The sequence below is a fragment of the Homo sapiens genome, chromosome 7 (assembly GCF_000001405.40).
Source record: "Homo sapiens chromosome 7, GRCh38.p14 Primary Assembly".
Classification (NCBI taxonomy): Eukaryota; Metazoa; Chordata; class Mammalia; order Primates; family Hominidae; genus Homo; species Homo sapiens.
In genome coordinates, this window is record NC_000007.14 from 123,112,584 (window position 1) to 123,129,349 (window position 16,766).

Consider the following 16,766-nt stretch of genomic DNA (forward strand, 5'->3'; position numbering starts at 1 on the left):
ATACAGTTTGTTCAGTTTTACTCTTGCATTCCTAATCCAATCCTTCCTCTACTAAAATTTTTTAAAAACATTTCATTTGGTAAAATCTACATACTCAAGCAAAAATAAAATTTATTAACTAAACCAATAAAATTTTAGAACTGAAATGTCATCACAAGGACTCTTATATTTAGCCATGATAGAGATATAATAATATATCTAATACTCTTTGACACATAATAATACATGGTACACATGTCAAGATACAATGAATGTGCCATGATGTCGTTTTGTCAATTTTTGCTAATAATGCTCATTAGAACCACTGTCTAAAATTATGTACCTCCCAGGCTGAAAAAAGAAAGGTTTGGACACCATGGTGAAAATACTGCACACATATGAGAGAAAAGAAGTCTGAATTGTAGAGATGCTGACATGTACAGCAGCAGTTGAGGTGACTGAAAGATATACATATGCCAGTGCAGCCTTCCAAGTGCCTGCATGAACAGACAGTAGGTAGGCACTTAGTAGAATTGCTGCTATCATCTAGACAAGATCCAATCCTAAGTAAGATGCTGAAATTCAAAGTGACAAAGATTTCTAGTTAACCTCTAAGTAATGATCAGGATAATGACAAAAATACTGTCTACCATAGAGTGGGAGGACAAAGGATTTTTGATCATCTGTTTAGAATTGCTTTCTGGAAACTTTCAAAGACAGTATGCAACTCTCAAACTAAAATAACTTGAGAACATTAATGTAAATGGGACAAATGTGAAATGGGTCATTTAAGTCATTTTTGATATATCAAACATAGAGCTGTGGTAAGAGAACTATATCACTCAATTAAACAAATTTTCACTAAGTATTATTTTTCACATACTCAGCTAGCAGCTATTGGAAGTAATTCATTAAAATTATCCAAGCTGAAATGTTTGCATTATTTTATTGAGACCAAAACTTACTCATTATAATTTGAAAAGTCATTTTATTTTTTCATAATAAAAATGCATCCATGATCTGATGCAATTCAGCAGTGATAAATTGAATGACTAGAAAAAAGCAGAAATGTAATAAATACTACAGATTATAAATACATGTGTAAAATATGGTAGGGAAAGGAACAAATGAATAGAATAAACATAGAAGAGTTATACAAAGCAGCAATATTATAATTTAAGCTTTACATGGACAAATTTTTCTTTGAAAAAATGATTTTTTGCATTGGCCCATTAATAAACATAGATAAATAATGAACATGGCCAATTAATAATTCGTATGTTAAATATTATTTTAAAAACCCTCTTTACTATATTTAGTTTCAAGAATAAGTTTGTAAATAATCTTATTTGAATAAAAAATGACAAGGTCAGTAACAGCTGGAAAGTGCCAACGAAGATTAAAAATAGCAAAGGTTTGGCTGAGGCAGGAGAATGGCGTGAACCTGGGAGGCGGAGCTTGCAGTGAGCCGAGATCCCGCCACTGCACTCCAGCCTGGGCGACAGAGCGAGACTCCGTCTCAAAAAAAAAAAAAAAAAAAAAAAAGCAAAGGTTTATTTTTTGCTTTGTCTTTTGTTGTATTTTTAGCATGAGAATTGCTGTGATATAACATCTGCATCTTTTGCTAACTGTGCACCTTACTTTGTTTTTGATCATTTTTCCTTTAGCTGAATTTTGGAATGCCAATAGCACTTACTCTTTAAAAATTTATTTATTGATATATAATATTTGTACATATTTTGGGGGTGTATGTGATATTTTGCTACCTGTCTACAATGTGTAATTGTCACATCAGGGTAATTGGAAACTCATTCTTTTTCGCATCCTCACTTCTAGAAGACTATTCTTATCCCATTTTTGTTTAAATGTTTAGTTTTTTCTTTTTGATTTGATTTTAAATCATTTATTTTTCTGTTTTGTAATACGTCAGCAGTTTTCATTCTTATTCTTTTTTCCTTCTTTTTTTCATTTTTTCATTGCAATGTTAACACACCAGAGTTATGTGATTTTTCTGTCTGTATACACAGTGATAATTCATTTAGATTTCTACATCTCTTTATTTTTAACATATGACATTATGTATTTCTGAACTAAGATAAACACTTAAGCAAAGTTGTTACTCATATACGAAAATATGTTAATAGTTTTATAGTGTTCAGCTTTCCTTTCTAACTATACTGTACTAATAGTGCAAATCATAGCAAGCCTTATCCATAGCTCTACAAAATGAATTTCTCAGTGTGCCAATATCATAAAAATATGAATTATATTACACTAACTATAGAGTTCAGTAGAAATAAATTCTTATCTGTAACTTTTCTGTTATTTAGTATATTCAGCCATAATTTTGGAATTAGTGCTTCAATCTCAATTTTCATATTACATGTATATATTAAGAATAATCCAATTGGATTTTTTAAATGAGGAAATGCACATATCATTTAGATTAAACTTTTCTCTTCATCACCAGATGACCATGGCTTTGATTTCTCAGCAAATTCTCTGGAACAACAATGCAGAAATGATTTATCCAAGTACCGAATTAACTTGTATATCTTATTTTCTATTTTTAGTTTCATGGGAAATTTCTGAAATAATAAATTGCATTTAAAATGTTACATTGAACTCCAACTGTAAGATGAAACAAATGCTCTAATCTCTTTGAAGGTCAAGTTATAAATTATTCTTATGATGAAGCAAGTTGCAGATGGTTCATGAGCAAAATCTCAAAACATGGGCTTCTTGATGAAGGCACATAGATGCTCTTTAGTTGCACTGCAATAACAAATATGGACTCTGAGTTATAACAGCAGGTTTCGGGTATTCACAGGAATTGCAGCAGCTACACCATAACTGATTTAAATGTGTGTCATTAGTTATTTAGAGCCACATTTTACAGTCAATCATTAATGTCTTCCAGAAATTACCGCAAGATAGTCAGAAATTTTGTGCTTATTATGGCATGGTCTCATTACTCATAGCAGGAGCCCACGAAGGGTAAGTGTAGAGGTCAAACATGGGTACAATCCAAGTACATATGCCAAGCATAACCACAGCAACACCAACAATGTTGACACCAAGTCCAGCTTTAACCTTGAACAGGAAAGAGCATAAATGTCAGTGTCCCAGAAGAAAGCCTACAGGAGATTAGAATCCTATTGTAGGATGTATATGCCAAATTTACATGCATCCTAAATGATTAGTATAAATTGTCATTTTTTAAATTATACTTTAAGTTCTAGGGTACATGTGCACAACGTGCAGGTTTGTTACATATGTATACATGGGTCATGTTGGTGTGCTGCACCCATTAACTCGTCATTTCTTAAATCCAGGGGTTCTTCTCCATTCGTAGCAAGAGAAAAATCTGTCTCCAACTAAACATCGTTGAGTTGGAGATTCTCAGAGAAGTTCCTCTTAGGAATATACCTAAGTAATTCTGATTAGAGGAAAATCCCTTAGAAATCTGCCATTTCATGTTAAAGCAGAATTTCAGTTTTGTGGTTTTATATTTCAATGAATAAAATTCAGGACGCCATATGGCAACTGTATCTTTTATATTCACTCAACGTAATTGTTAATTTAACCTTCGATATTTTCTTATTGAGATTTTATGCCATGTCTATTATCTTTCTTAGCATTCTCATGGTTTTAGCTCTTATATCATTATTCTACAGTCCATTAAACAATCTCAGAGTTGCTTTGTATCTATTAAAATAAAAATTGGCAAATTACTGCCCTTGATTTGTTTTGGTAAATAAAGTTTTATTGGACCACAACTACGCTTATTTGTTTACATATTTTCTTTGCTTTCATGATACAATGGCAGAGTTGAGTAGTTGTGACAGAGAACATATGGCCCCACAGGGCCTCAAATATCATTTGCCTTTTTACAGAGAAAGTTTGCTTACTCCTGCATTCTCTGCATTAAAACATGGAGCCCTGAAGCAAAAGAGGAATACCTAGCAAGGGTGATAACAGATGCCCTCTTTCCTGTCCATGCAAGCCAGCCACTTATTTATCCCAGAATCCTGTTTTTATCCTTTTTAATACACATACATCAGGCATTACTTATATTCTATTATGCACGTTTTCCTTACCAAATGCATATTATTTTTGTGTAGAGGCAGTTCTAGAATGTTTATGTTGCAGGAGCTTAGGAACAGCAGTCTGTGTGAAAGAAAGGGAGCTGGGACTTATCTTGGAACTGTATTTGCATAGGAAGCTCACTAAATTTACTTTGGCTATATTATCATTTGGGTTGGTTTGGAAATTGGTGATGAAGATTTGGAAACTACTAGAATATTCTCAAGCCAGTTCTTATAAAGTACTGAATATTCTGCCAGTACTTTTGTATTTGGCAAAAATGTGCATGCTTTATCAGTGAAATTCTTACTTATTGTTTGCTTGTGTTTTCACGTTAGGTCCTGGTATTGAAATCACAACAAGAAAGATACTTCTTCATCAGTGAGGCACTGACTCAGTGTCTCATTCAGAGGAAATGTTGGTGCATAAATGTTTGTGATAGAAAATCACAGTGTTGTTTTGATTGCTGATTTCTTTAACCCTATTTTTTCCTTTTGCCTGGATCAGTTTGGATCCTAGTGTTGACTTGTAGGTTTATGCTGTCGTGTGGAGCATGTTCAGTGCTCTTTTCCTTCGTCCAAAGCATTAATGATGCATTCAACATCTCTCTGTTTGTGACCGTAAGTTTTAATGGCATGTTCACTTCTGATAATCACTCTTAAAAACAATTTTGTGATTAGTCATGCACACTGCATTCATAAACAGAATTCAGGCCCTGCTTTTCCTGGTGGTTGATTGGTGTATAAAAGGGAAGATAATTCAAGACATGGCACACACCAAGATGTGTATTGGATTTGATAGTATTTTTTTCAGCTAACTCACCATGTCAATGACTTTCAGATGACCATATGAAAAGACAATAGCATTGGGTGGATTTGCTACTGGTAGGAGGAATGCAAATGAAGTACACAGAGTAGAAGGTATCAGAATATAAAGAGGGTTCACATGAATGGCTTCGGCCTGTTGTAAGAGATAAAAAAGAGTCTAAGTAAAATTTTGAGGGTAGACACGAAACATAAAAAAAAAAAAAGTATTACAATAAGCCTTCCCAGAAGCATGTTGGAACCTAATGATATAAAATTATATAAATTATTGCAGTTATAACTTGAATATTTTTAAGAAAATATCTCATCCTCTTGTTGTTGATACAGTTACAGATGCCCACTTAAACATTACAGTCCAGTTCATTTAGAAAATAAAATATTATTTATTCCAGAAACTAAACAAAAACAGCAACCATTTATTACTTATCTATTGCTAGGTGTTGGGCTAAATGTTTACATATACGTATATATTCATATATTTACACATAATATAGTTTATAATATATAATAAATGTCACATATTTATATATATATTGAATTTTTACAATGATCTTATGAGATGGCTACTATAACCTCAAATAACATAAAGAAACAGAGGCCCAGAGAGGCTAAAGTAACTTGTCCGAGCATACAGCTGGTGAGCAACAGAGCTCAGGTAGGTTTTCAAGTCCCTGTGGCTCCAGCAGTTCTCATTACACTAATAACTTTACTGCCTCTGTGATATATGCAATTTAAGATTTGCTTAGGGTTCATCATATAAGAAGAGTTACTACTATTTTTAAATCAACACATAATTTTCTAACTGTTCCATGTTGAGAAATTTTAAAAAAGCAGAAAACAACACAAAATGATATTGTACCAATATACACAGCCTACATTTTTTCTACTTTCAATCAGCAGCTTATGAACACCAACATATGCCCTTTGAGCTTGTAGCAGCATAATTCCAGAAAGACAATCCTTCTTAAAGTGCTTTCCTTTCACCAAACCAGTCCATCCCAATAAGAAAAACATTTTACTTAAAGCTGTTTCTTGTAATTGCTACCTAGATTGAGAAAAGAAGAAAAGACATTCTTTCCCTCTCTCTTTTAGCAAACCCACTTACTTTTTAAAAATTCTTCCCTGGGCAGTAGAAAACTGTCTAAGATATTTAAGCCTCAAGCCTGAAGTGTGAGCCTAGTTTTTCATTCATTTGCAAATCACTTATATGAACCACTTCTCAGAAATTTAGGAACAATGTTTGAGAGGCAAAAGTGTCAGCGGTAGAGATCTAAATAATAAAGTTACCAGCAAACACTGAATTCCAAGTCTTACATCTGAAATGGATCTAGTCTGACCCTCTCTCTTATTTATAACGAAAAAAGCTGGACTGAGAAAAAGTAAGTTGTTCACTTAAGATCATGCTGCTTGAACATGAAAACTTAAAAACAGTTACCTAGAGTGAAGGTCCCCTGAAAGCATTAATACAAATAAAGACCACCCTGTAAGTTACTTACAGGAGGCCCATTTAGACCAAAAGAGATTCCATACCACAACATGAAAACCAGCATTCCGAAGCAGAGTACTGCTCTTAATGAAGAGTAAAAAGGGGATAAATGAGATACTCACCAATGGAGATAATATTGGGAGAAAGAGTGTAATGGTAGCTGGATTGCTGGCTACCTCAGTTAAAGATGTCACCATCAAAGAAGATATCAGAATTATTAGCCATGCTGGTAATGAACCCAGAGGAGATAATTTATTTCCTATCCACTTAGATAATCCAGACTCCTAAAAAACAAATTTGCAATATTTGTTACTCATGAATAATTCTTTGTAATCAGACACAATAAAATCCATAAAAAAACATTATTTCCTTTGAAAACTCACTTTCTAAAATATAATTTTAATCTCTCTTTTTTTCTGTGGTTTGGTAGGTCTGGGTGGCTTTGGTAGGAAGGAGCTATTGCTTAGTCTTATTTTGACACTGGGAACATGGTTTAGAAAGTTTGAAATGTATTACCACTTTTTTCAATTACATTTTAATTTTATCTAATTTATATATGTGGATATTTTAATAGATCATATAGAGGGCTTTAAGAGAAGAGCAACCCTTCTGATTCACCTCTCTCTATTCCTAAGTTATATTCTGCAGAGGCAACAACTTTCAACCCTTATTAGCCACTTATAGCTAGCTATATTTAGGTATTCATAGTTACCTTTTAAAATAATATTTTAATTATGATTTTTGCTTACTTTTAAAATTTAGACATTATTTACTGACTTTCTAATATGTTACATGATAATTCAGCTCTCTTACACCATCTACCAAACATATATTTTTTGTTTCTTCATTCCCCCACATTCATATATTAACATTTTTGTTTAAATCAATATTTAATGTTTACCCCTATGATTAAATAAATATTGTTCATAGCTACACCACTTAGCATACTATCAGTGCGTTTACTCTCCCTTCCCCACAAGGAATAACTATCTCATTATTTTGTTTGCTTAGCTTTCCAAGTACCTATCACTAATTCATCTGAAATTAAAACTAAAAAACTCCCCACAAATAGATGAACATATCAGGTAATTGATGTCTTTTCATGTTCCCTCACAGAAATATCTATTCTGGAATATTTCCTCCTCCTGCTCCATTTGGCTTAGTTTCCCTTTAAATCTATTCAACTGTTGTTGTTCTGGGACCCCTTTTCACTATAATATTATGACGTTCCTTCTCCTCCCCACTTTGTGGGAATCATTTTTTAATCTACTCTTTTGCATTGGGGGAGCACTTCCTTCTATAACTTCCTGAGAATTGGTATAAGAGTCTTTGCATGCTTGAAAACCTTTTTCTTTTCTGTTCCCACTGTTCTTATTGTTTTGCATTTGTAGAATTCTAGGTTCAAAATAATTATAACTCCACACTTCTAAGCCATTACTCCATTTCCTGTGGTTTCCAGTTGGATTCTTTAGAAGCCTGGTCATATTCTGCTCCTTTGATTCATTATACATAGTGCAGAAAAACTGGCTATACTCAGATTAGCAAGGATGTTGTTCTGTGTTTCTCCCCCACATGGAAGGGAAAATCCTCCTTTTGTGAAATTTCAGTGAGCTATTGCATGTATGAATCTTTATGACAACTAGAAGTGGCATGAGAAATACTCTAATTACAAGCAGTATACCCTCAGATCAAAAGCTGGCACAGAAATTCCTAGATGTGAGCACCAGATATCATGTGTGGTTTTGGCTTGTATTTTTGTTTATCTGCTTGTTTTTGCTTATGACTTTTAGGTAGAAAAAGATTATCCACCATTTTAGTCACATTGACACAAATTAATCCTAGAATAGGTATACTTTAAGAATAGGTTTTATCTATGTCTAATTAGATGTGGAAATGATTATACTACATACTGTTTCCCCTACCTGTAGGCCACTGAAATCATATCTTCATCCCCACAGTTCCAAAATTCTACATAAAGTGCTTTGGTATTGGGTACTCAGTAGCTCTCTCAGTCCAGAATCTCAAAGTCTCTAGCTCTAAGAAATTTCTTGTGTTATTTTGTGGAAATGTTCTTCTTTTCTATTTTTTTCTCTTTTTTTCTGAAATGCCTGTTAGTTGACTGTTGAACATTTTGGATTGATGTTCTAATGTTCTTATCTCTTTGTGAGCCAGTGTCTCATTGGCTCAATTTTGCTACAAAGTAAATCTCAATTTTCTATCACGGAGGACAGAGAACAACAGCAGGACTGGGGAAAGCATCTGGGAAGCCCATAGATCTTTATACACTTTTTAAACCATCCTCCATATTCAGCTCTGGCTTTTACTGTTGCTTTCAGAGTTATCTGCTGCCTCCAGTTCCTGAGGTCTGCCAGTATGCTATGGATAACCAGCATGTTTCTTGTTGGCTCTTCATTTTGCCAGCCTATATGTTTCATATTTTACTATTTTTCTATTTGTACAAAGTCAGTTCCTCTCAAATATCCTCTTTCCACTTTCTAAATGTGATAAACATTTCTTGCCTCTTCTTGTCCCTGTCATATAGTCTTTGTCTTTATGGATTGACATGTTTTTGTTGTTATTGCAATTTTAATGGATATCTGAAATAAAAAATAAATCCTGCATGTTTAACCTAGGAGAGAAAATTTCAAGAATGTATGAAAATTGAAGAGGAGATATTCACTGATAAGAATTTGAAACTGTCTATCTGCTCATGAGAGAGAAATCATGTTAAAACAAAAACCCAGGGGCATTTAAAAGAAAAGTAATTGCAATGAGGTGAATTCCATAGTAGTTGCTGTTTCACTGTTCTGTTCCCAACTAGAAAGAGTATCTGGTTCTGGACACTTGCCAGACTACAATTTGAAAGAAAAGTGTTGAAAATTAATTGCCTCCAAATTTTTTACAGTCCAGTTTTTAGGGGCATATTTGTCCACAGCCATACTCTTGAAGCTCATGGCTTCAATCTGGGCACTTAGAGGTAGAGTTATTCTGGGTATCCTGTAGACATTTGGCTCTGTATATTGAGATTTTTATAGCAAACTAGACCTCCCTCTCTGGGTTCCCAAATTCTTCTACTGAGAGAACCTTGTGCATCAGGCTGAGTCCACACCTTTTCGTTTCCTCAGATTTTGTATGCTAGGGTCTGGCTGATGCTTTCAAAATCACTTTGAGTGTCTAGGATCCAATCCAGACACATAACTCTGTGCAGAAAAATTGTCAATAAAGTTAGAAGCAAAGGAGTATCTTCCAATAAGTTATCAAGAAGAGAAGAGACAGTGATTTGTCTTGAGTAGTATAGAAATTTAACCTCCTGGAAGCCAAAGGGCTGAACATGACAGTTCTCTCACCATTCTGTTCAATTTGATGACTGAGTAAGGAAATGGAAGAGCCATAAGCTTTGAATATTTCAAATAAGTCTATGAAAACCAGAATGAGTGGTTTTAATTAATCTAGGAGTAATTAATTTTCATGGAAATTTGGGAGAAGATAATTTTCTTCCAACAACTCTACAAAGACCAGGGCAATTGCAAGGGATGAGGGCCTCCCCAAACTGTTGCTTTATATCAACTGGACAGACAGGTCAAATAAAGTCAACCAACATCTCATGGTGTTTTTATTTCTTACTAAGATTAGACATAATATAATGTTAGAAAGGGTTATGTGAATTTTTCTCCAGACTTTATTCAATAAACATTTACTAATTATCTTTAAAGCTAATATTATTTCTCATTCTCTTTTTTTTTAAATCAGCAATAGCATCATGATATACTGAAGTCCAAGAGCTACTCAAATTCATAATGAAATAAGGTAAAGGCATAAGCAAACGAAAAGTATATTTCACTAGGAGTCACTTTACATATTTTCATATACATTTTTCCTTACTAGCCTTCTAATACTATTTCATGAATTAAACATTTTAATCTTCTTTGTATTATTTCTTTTGACATTCTGGAGCACCATAAAAACTATGTTTTATGCTTGCAGCCTGTAATATTTCTTGAACTCTGAACTCATCTCATTTGTGTGGTATATTCACTGCATAGCTAGCAAAATTTGCAACATTAAAATGACAGAGTGAAATTGAATATGCCCAAAGATTGAATGTCTCTGTGCTCTTCTTTTGAACAGTCTGGTTAATTGTTAAATATCTTACACACAGAGTATTACCTCACAACCATCTGCCAGGGCAAACCCTCCACCAACAAGAATGGCTATATCCCAGGGCATGAATGACTGGAATTCTTTCCAAGTAATCAGTGGAGAGTAATCAAAAGCAACTGCAAAACAAAAATCCTACAGTTACACATTGCTTAAAATATTACAATATGACATTTGCTTCAGCATCCTAAGTAGCCATCTTACAGGAAGTTTGTAATATTCCTATATTGTTTTTAAAGAGGGGAATTAATCTGGAGTTTGAGTAATTTCCACCTGGACTAGGTGGAACATTCTACTATAAAAAAGAGAAAACTCCATAACTTAAAAAAATCCTTTGGGTAATATTATAGAATATATTTCAATAAATTATAACATTGTCACTTATAATGGTACTCATTCATTCACTCACTCATTCATTTATATTCCACTAACATCTTTGCCAACTGTGAATAGCACAGTGCATTAGACTATAATATTCTTTGCTATGCAAAATGTCCATAATATTCCATTGGTTCCAATAGCATCTTGTAGCATTTTAATTATTATCCATTAATATTTGAACATTTTATTAGTTTTTAGGTCATAAGGAGGATCATGATAGATTCACCAAGATTTCAGTTTAAAAATAATTCAAGATTCAGATTAAATAAAGTATTATTTATGAGGTTCTTAAAGTGCTTATAAAAGGATTATCATAAAGATTTCTCTTTATATTTGGCTTCTGATCTCTCCATTGCTTTGTTGATAAAGAAGTTCATTTGGAGACATATTCTGCCCATTTAACTTGTGTATAACAGGCAGCCTTCTACATGGTAAGATTTTAAGTTTACCAATAAGCTTCCTTCCTATCATCTTCCCCCAAATCCAAACCAAACCCATCCTCACTGATAACTGAAATTATGTCACCAGGTTTCTTACTTTAAGGTCATATATCTTGTTAAAATGTAAACATCTCTGACAAGTACTTCTTATTTAAAATTTAACATATTTATATATTATTTGTCATTTTTAAGCCTTGTATGAATGACTTTAGCAGGGAGAAGAGGTTTTGAAGAATGAGGGGAGAGAGAAAGGTGGGTAGGAGCAAGGCTCTTTCTAAGGGAGGGAATTCAGATGTGGAAACCAGGGAAGCTAAAGCCAAACATGGATTCCTCAGTACTTGCCACTGCCAGACCTCAGGGCTTTGACTGCAATGATCAGAGTCCTTGGGGTCCCATAGGAATCAATGCTCCATATTGCATCACCTCCTTAACACACATTGAGATATTCTAATCTCAAGTGAAAAACAAAGTACATTTGTTTCTATGCTGTGCTGGTCACATATGTCCTGGAAATCTGATACATTAGTCATTTATAGATTCTGACAAGAGTCAAGTGGGCCAACACAACTACATAAATCCCAGTTCCATCCCCATAAGAACAAACAAACAAAACCACAAGTCTACTAGTTAATTTCCAGACAATTACAAATTAGTTGTCCCACATTGACAAGATAGGAATCTGACTACTCAAAACATGCTGTGTTGTAAAGCAAAGATATGGATGAATCTTGTGTTTAAAAAGTGTGTGTGTCTGTGTGTGTGTGTGTGTGTTGAGAGGATGGTATGCTCAGGCAAATGTGCACACTTCTTTGTTCATGTGTTGTAAATACAATGAATGCTGTCACAGAATACCTTTTCTTTATTTTTATTACTATCATTATTTTTAGAGACCGAGTCTCCCTCTGTTGCCCAGGGCAGTGGCACAATCATAGCTCACTACAGCCTCCAACTCCTGGGCTCAAGTGATCCTCCTGCGTTGGCCTCCAGATTGGCCACCACACCTGGCTAATTTTTTTAATTTTTTGATAGAGCTGGGGTCTCACCATGCTGCCAAGGCTTGTTTCAAACTACTGGCCTCAAGTGATCCTCCTGCCTCAGTCTCCCAAAGTGCTGTGATTGCAGGTGTGAGCCACCACATCTGGCCCTTTTATTTCAGCTGTGATCCTAGGATATGGCTATGTGAGGTTTATTTAGCTTTTGTTCCAGAACTACTTTGAGAATGTAAATACTCTTTCTCTTGAAATTCATCACCTTTTTAGATCCTCTGCATTTATTACCAAGGTATCATAATGAAGCAGTGTCTTCCAAGTTCTTTTTCCTCTGTTTGCCAATAGTAAGATTAATTTTGAAGTGAGTTTACCATGGGTCAAATAGTATCGCTTGTAGCAGAGCCCTAGCCATGATACAAAAGGAAATCTACTTCTCACTTCTGCAAAGTAAGACGATCTCTCTTGAAGGTGGAAGCTGTGCTGGCTTGAAGACAGCATTGCAGTTTGCAAATAGGGCATGCTAGGCCAGGGATTGTGCCAGCATAGACTTTCTTTCTGCTCTAGGTGCCAAGCGAAACCAATGGAATTTTGTAATTTTTGCTCTTCTGTTAAATTTATGCAGAATTATAAATGATACTCAACCAATTTCTCCTGTAGGTGTAGTTTTAGTCAGTGTCTTAGCTGGGATAAGAAAGAATAGCAGCCCTATAAGTAAAGCAACAGTTGAATCTGTAGCAAAACCAGGGTACCTGTAAAAGGGACAAATACATGTATTAAAAATAGCATCAAGAACTTAAATGAGCTAAAACACCAATTTTGCTAATAACATATCAGTAATAGGTTATTATCAGTAGTAGGTGGTGTAGGTTATTTATCCTCAATAATCTGCCCTAAAATATATGGATTCCCGATTAAATGACACAACACTAAAAACAATAATCTCAGACCATAGTCTTATTGTTCCCATATATCTCTTCTTATTTTCAATACCACGTATACACATGCTGACATACTAGGCCAAAGTGGCAAATTTCCCTTTTAGATAAGCTTACAGATTTGTTAAACAATTTCTTCTTTGAATTATTTAATTTAATAATATTGATCAAGATTTGAAGTTGAAACATTGCTAGAGCATGGAAAGCCCCATATAATTGATTTATAACATCCTTCTATTAAATTGTGGCAAGGCGTGATATTTCTGTGTTCCTCTAAAGCTCTTCTATAAATTGTGAAAAGGAATTGATCTGTTTTCTGAGATATCACACCTGCTTCTGTGTTTATAAGCTCTAACCATATCATACAAAGGAAAGCAACCTACTTAATTTTTTGCACCCCATGAAATTCAATCAAGAATATTAATTGTTGGAGTGGTTTAGCCAATGCTCACAAATGATCACCATATAAATTAAGACTGATTCAGGAACAGATGGGGTCTTAGAATCACCAGACCATTGTAACAAATAAGACAGATTCCCAGAAGCCTCAACAGGAAAGAACCTGGAGACCAGATATAACTGAAATAGGCATTAATAATTAGCATTTAGTGTTAAAAGTCAGCAATATTAACTAGTGCATTTCTGTAGCCTGAGAAGAAATATGTACCATGCTAAAGATTCTTTTACTATCTTGCAACTCAGTAATATGTATACACTACCGAAGCTTCTCTACTTCTATAATTTATTTGAAAAATCTAAAAAGCCAAAGAAATGCCGTATCTTTCTCAATCTAGCAATTTTTAAAGCAGTCTACTTTCTTTAAGTATAGACACATTTTCTTTCATTACTAGTTAAAAATCTACCTTACCATAATTTATCTTACAAACTGGACCGATATTTATAATTTTATTATACCTTATTTCTTTTATTTCAGTTATAATTTTTGGTTGTATTTTTGGCAAATTGGGCCAGGCATCATGTAACCAGATTTCGTTTTATATAAAAAGACACATTGAATTCAGTCCAGGTACAAACAGATGGAATGAAAACATTAGGTGGTAGCTATAAATCTTGATACATCATGTTAGCTTTAGAAATTCTTAATGCCTGAAACTCTACATAACAAATATGTCCTACAAAATATATACATTAAATTAAATCAAGGCATAAATACTGAAATAATTTCTTTTCAAAGTACTTTAAAAACTATTCTTATCATATTATAACTTATTTTTAGTTTCTCAGGAATGCAGTTAGGTTGTCTCAGTATTAGAAACTATTAAGCTTATATAAATTTTATTTGTTTTGGGTTTGCCAATTAGATTTATATTTTAAAATCCCATCCTCTCTCAAACCTTTGTTCCTTTCTTATTGTTTTCTCTCAGAATTGTAGGTGGCATGAGTGCCTGCTCATAGCCAATACACTGCTTTCCTGCTACAAACAAAACAATTCCTGTTTCCTCGCATAAGAAACAGAAATTGGAAGCTGATTATATTGAATTACCTATTGGGATTTCTGCCTGGGCTTTATTAGCTATCTCTGATTTCATTTAATTCTTACGCACTGGTGTTTAGATAAAGACTCTCCCTGTCTAGGATGACAGAAGTTGGATTTTAAAAGGGGGAAGCATTATTTTTTATGTTGATCTAGATCCTACCACAAAACCACAAAATATTAATTAAATATTACATAATAACTTGATTTAAATAACTGAATGTCTAAACCTCTCAAAATGAAAAGTTTTATTTCTAAGGGAATCAAAAAGTTTATAAAAATGAAGCTGATGCTTTAAAACACACCACCATATTGACTTGTGTGGTCATTAGGAATTTGGACTCAGACTTCGCACCCTTCAGAAACATTGACAATGCCTATAAAACCAGAAGGTTCTGATTCAGGGAGGGAAGAATTTCTTTATTGTATGTGGGCAAAATACATATGACCTAAACAATTTTGGTTTCTACCCCAAAATACAATTTTTTTTTTTTTTTTTTTTTTTTTTTTGCTGGGGGATTTGAGACAGGAAGTCCAAGTAAGACATGTGCTGAATTTAGAAATTAGAGTAGTTCAGTGAAAGATAGATTGGGAACACAAATCTCACAACTGAGTTATTTATATTGACATATAGGATGGTCCTTAATTTAGAAAATTATGCTATACCCTTCCCCCTCACTTCACACAACTCAGCAATTGATTACTGGTATATAAGACACTGAGATATAAAATTAACTCTGACCTAGCTTCTAGCACCAGCTTTTAAAATCAGTCCTATTATTTCTTCAGAAATTCCTTATCTATGAAATGGAGGCTGGGCTGAACTTGTAGTGAACTAGTGCAAAAATGTAAATAAATGAAGAAAAAAGACAAGATACTACACCAAACAAATAGTCCTCCATAGAATTAAAAAACAAAGTGGGTAAAAATCACATAATATGAATTTATACCAGATTATTAAGAGGCATTGAGTGGTATTTACTTCACATAATAACATTAGTATAGCACTTCCAATAGGGAGAAGTCCAGCACTATTGTAAATGCTATAATTACCTCCATCTTACAGATGAAGACCCTGAGAATTAAGTGACTTGTCCAAAGTAAGGGGATGAGTCAGGAAAGGAACCCAAGCAGTGTGGCTCTGAAATCTATGCTCCCAACCACCACAGAACATAGCCTTTGTGCTGTTATATTTCAGGGATGGGAATAATTTTGTAGGGATGGGAATTTTGTAGGGATGGGAATAATTTTGTCTAATGGACTTTGCCTTTCAGTAACAGAGTAAGTAATATGGTTATTCTTTCTGTGCTCTTATCCTAGATTTCATTCCTTATAATTTTTTTCCTGAAAAGATTAGAACTTAAAATATCTTTTCAAGGGAAAGAAAGAAAAATATCTCATCCAATCTTTCAGAATTACAGGAACCACACAGGAGAGAAGCAGAGTATAAAACAGGAAGGGCTGACAAACATAACGTGCAAAGCTTACTCTGAAAAAAGTGCAGACCAACCAGGAACAAATCCGGGGTCTCGACTAAACCATAGCAGAGCCATTATAATGAAGAGGACCAAGGTCACAATTTCTTGATACCTGTGGAAAAATTCCAATGGCATCACTTCTTATTTTCTCAGTCGGGACATTTGTAGAAACTCCTTGAGCTATTGTCAGGAATGATCGCAGTAGAACACTAAACACTGTAAGAACTAGATGTGTCAATAATTTGAGAGCATCAGTGCAGTTTGAAAAAGCCCTTTCTCCTCTTTGGGGTCTCTCAGCTTCTTTTCATTTTACCTGGCAAATTTTAGTTAGACAGGGTATGTGTTTTATCATGTTGAGTTATAGTCTATAATCTCCATAGCTTAGCAAATTTGGGGCCCTAATCAAGTGTTATAAATACCTTGCAAGCAATTATGTGCTTGTTTGCTTTTCAACAGCTACTTGCAGTGTAAACAGCATTTCTCTCTTCTCTGTGTGTGTGTGTGTGTGTGTGTGT

At 34.0% G+C, this 16,766-nt stretch overlaps 1 protein-coding gene across 7 annotated transcripts in view; it reads right to left on the reverse strand.

The window, feature by feature from the left end:
• The window catches only part of SLC13A1 (solute carrier family 13 member 1), an 86,441-nt gene continuing 70,622 nt past the window's right edge, over positions 948–16,766 (reverse strand). For 5 of the 7 annotated variants that reach the window (XM_047420754.1, NM_022444.4, XM_011516515.4 and 2 more), the window contains 6 exons: positions 16,262–16,363; positions 12,986–13,092; positions 10,543–10,652; positions 6,498–6,659; positions 4,888–5,025; positions 948–3,072 (listed from right to left, as the gene is read on the reverse strand). In XM_047420754.1, the coding sequence (XP_047276710.1) occupies positions 2,935–3,072; positions 4,888–5,025; positions 6,498–6,659; positions 10,543–10,652; positions 12,986–13,092; positions 16,262–16,363 (757 nt within the window). In that variant the 3' untranslated portion in view covers positions 948–2,934. 7 annotated transcript variants of the gene reach the window in all.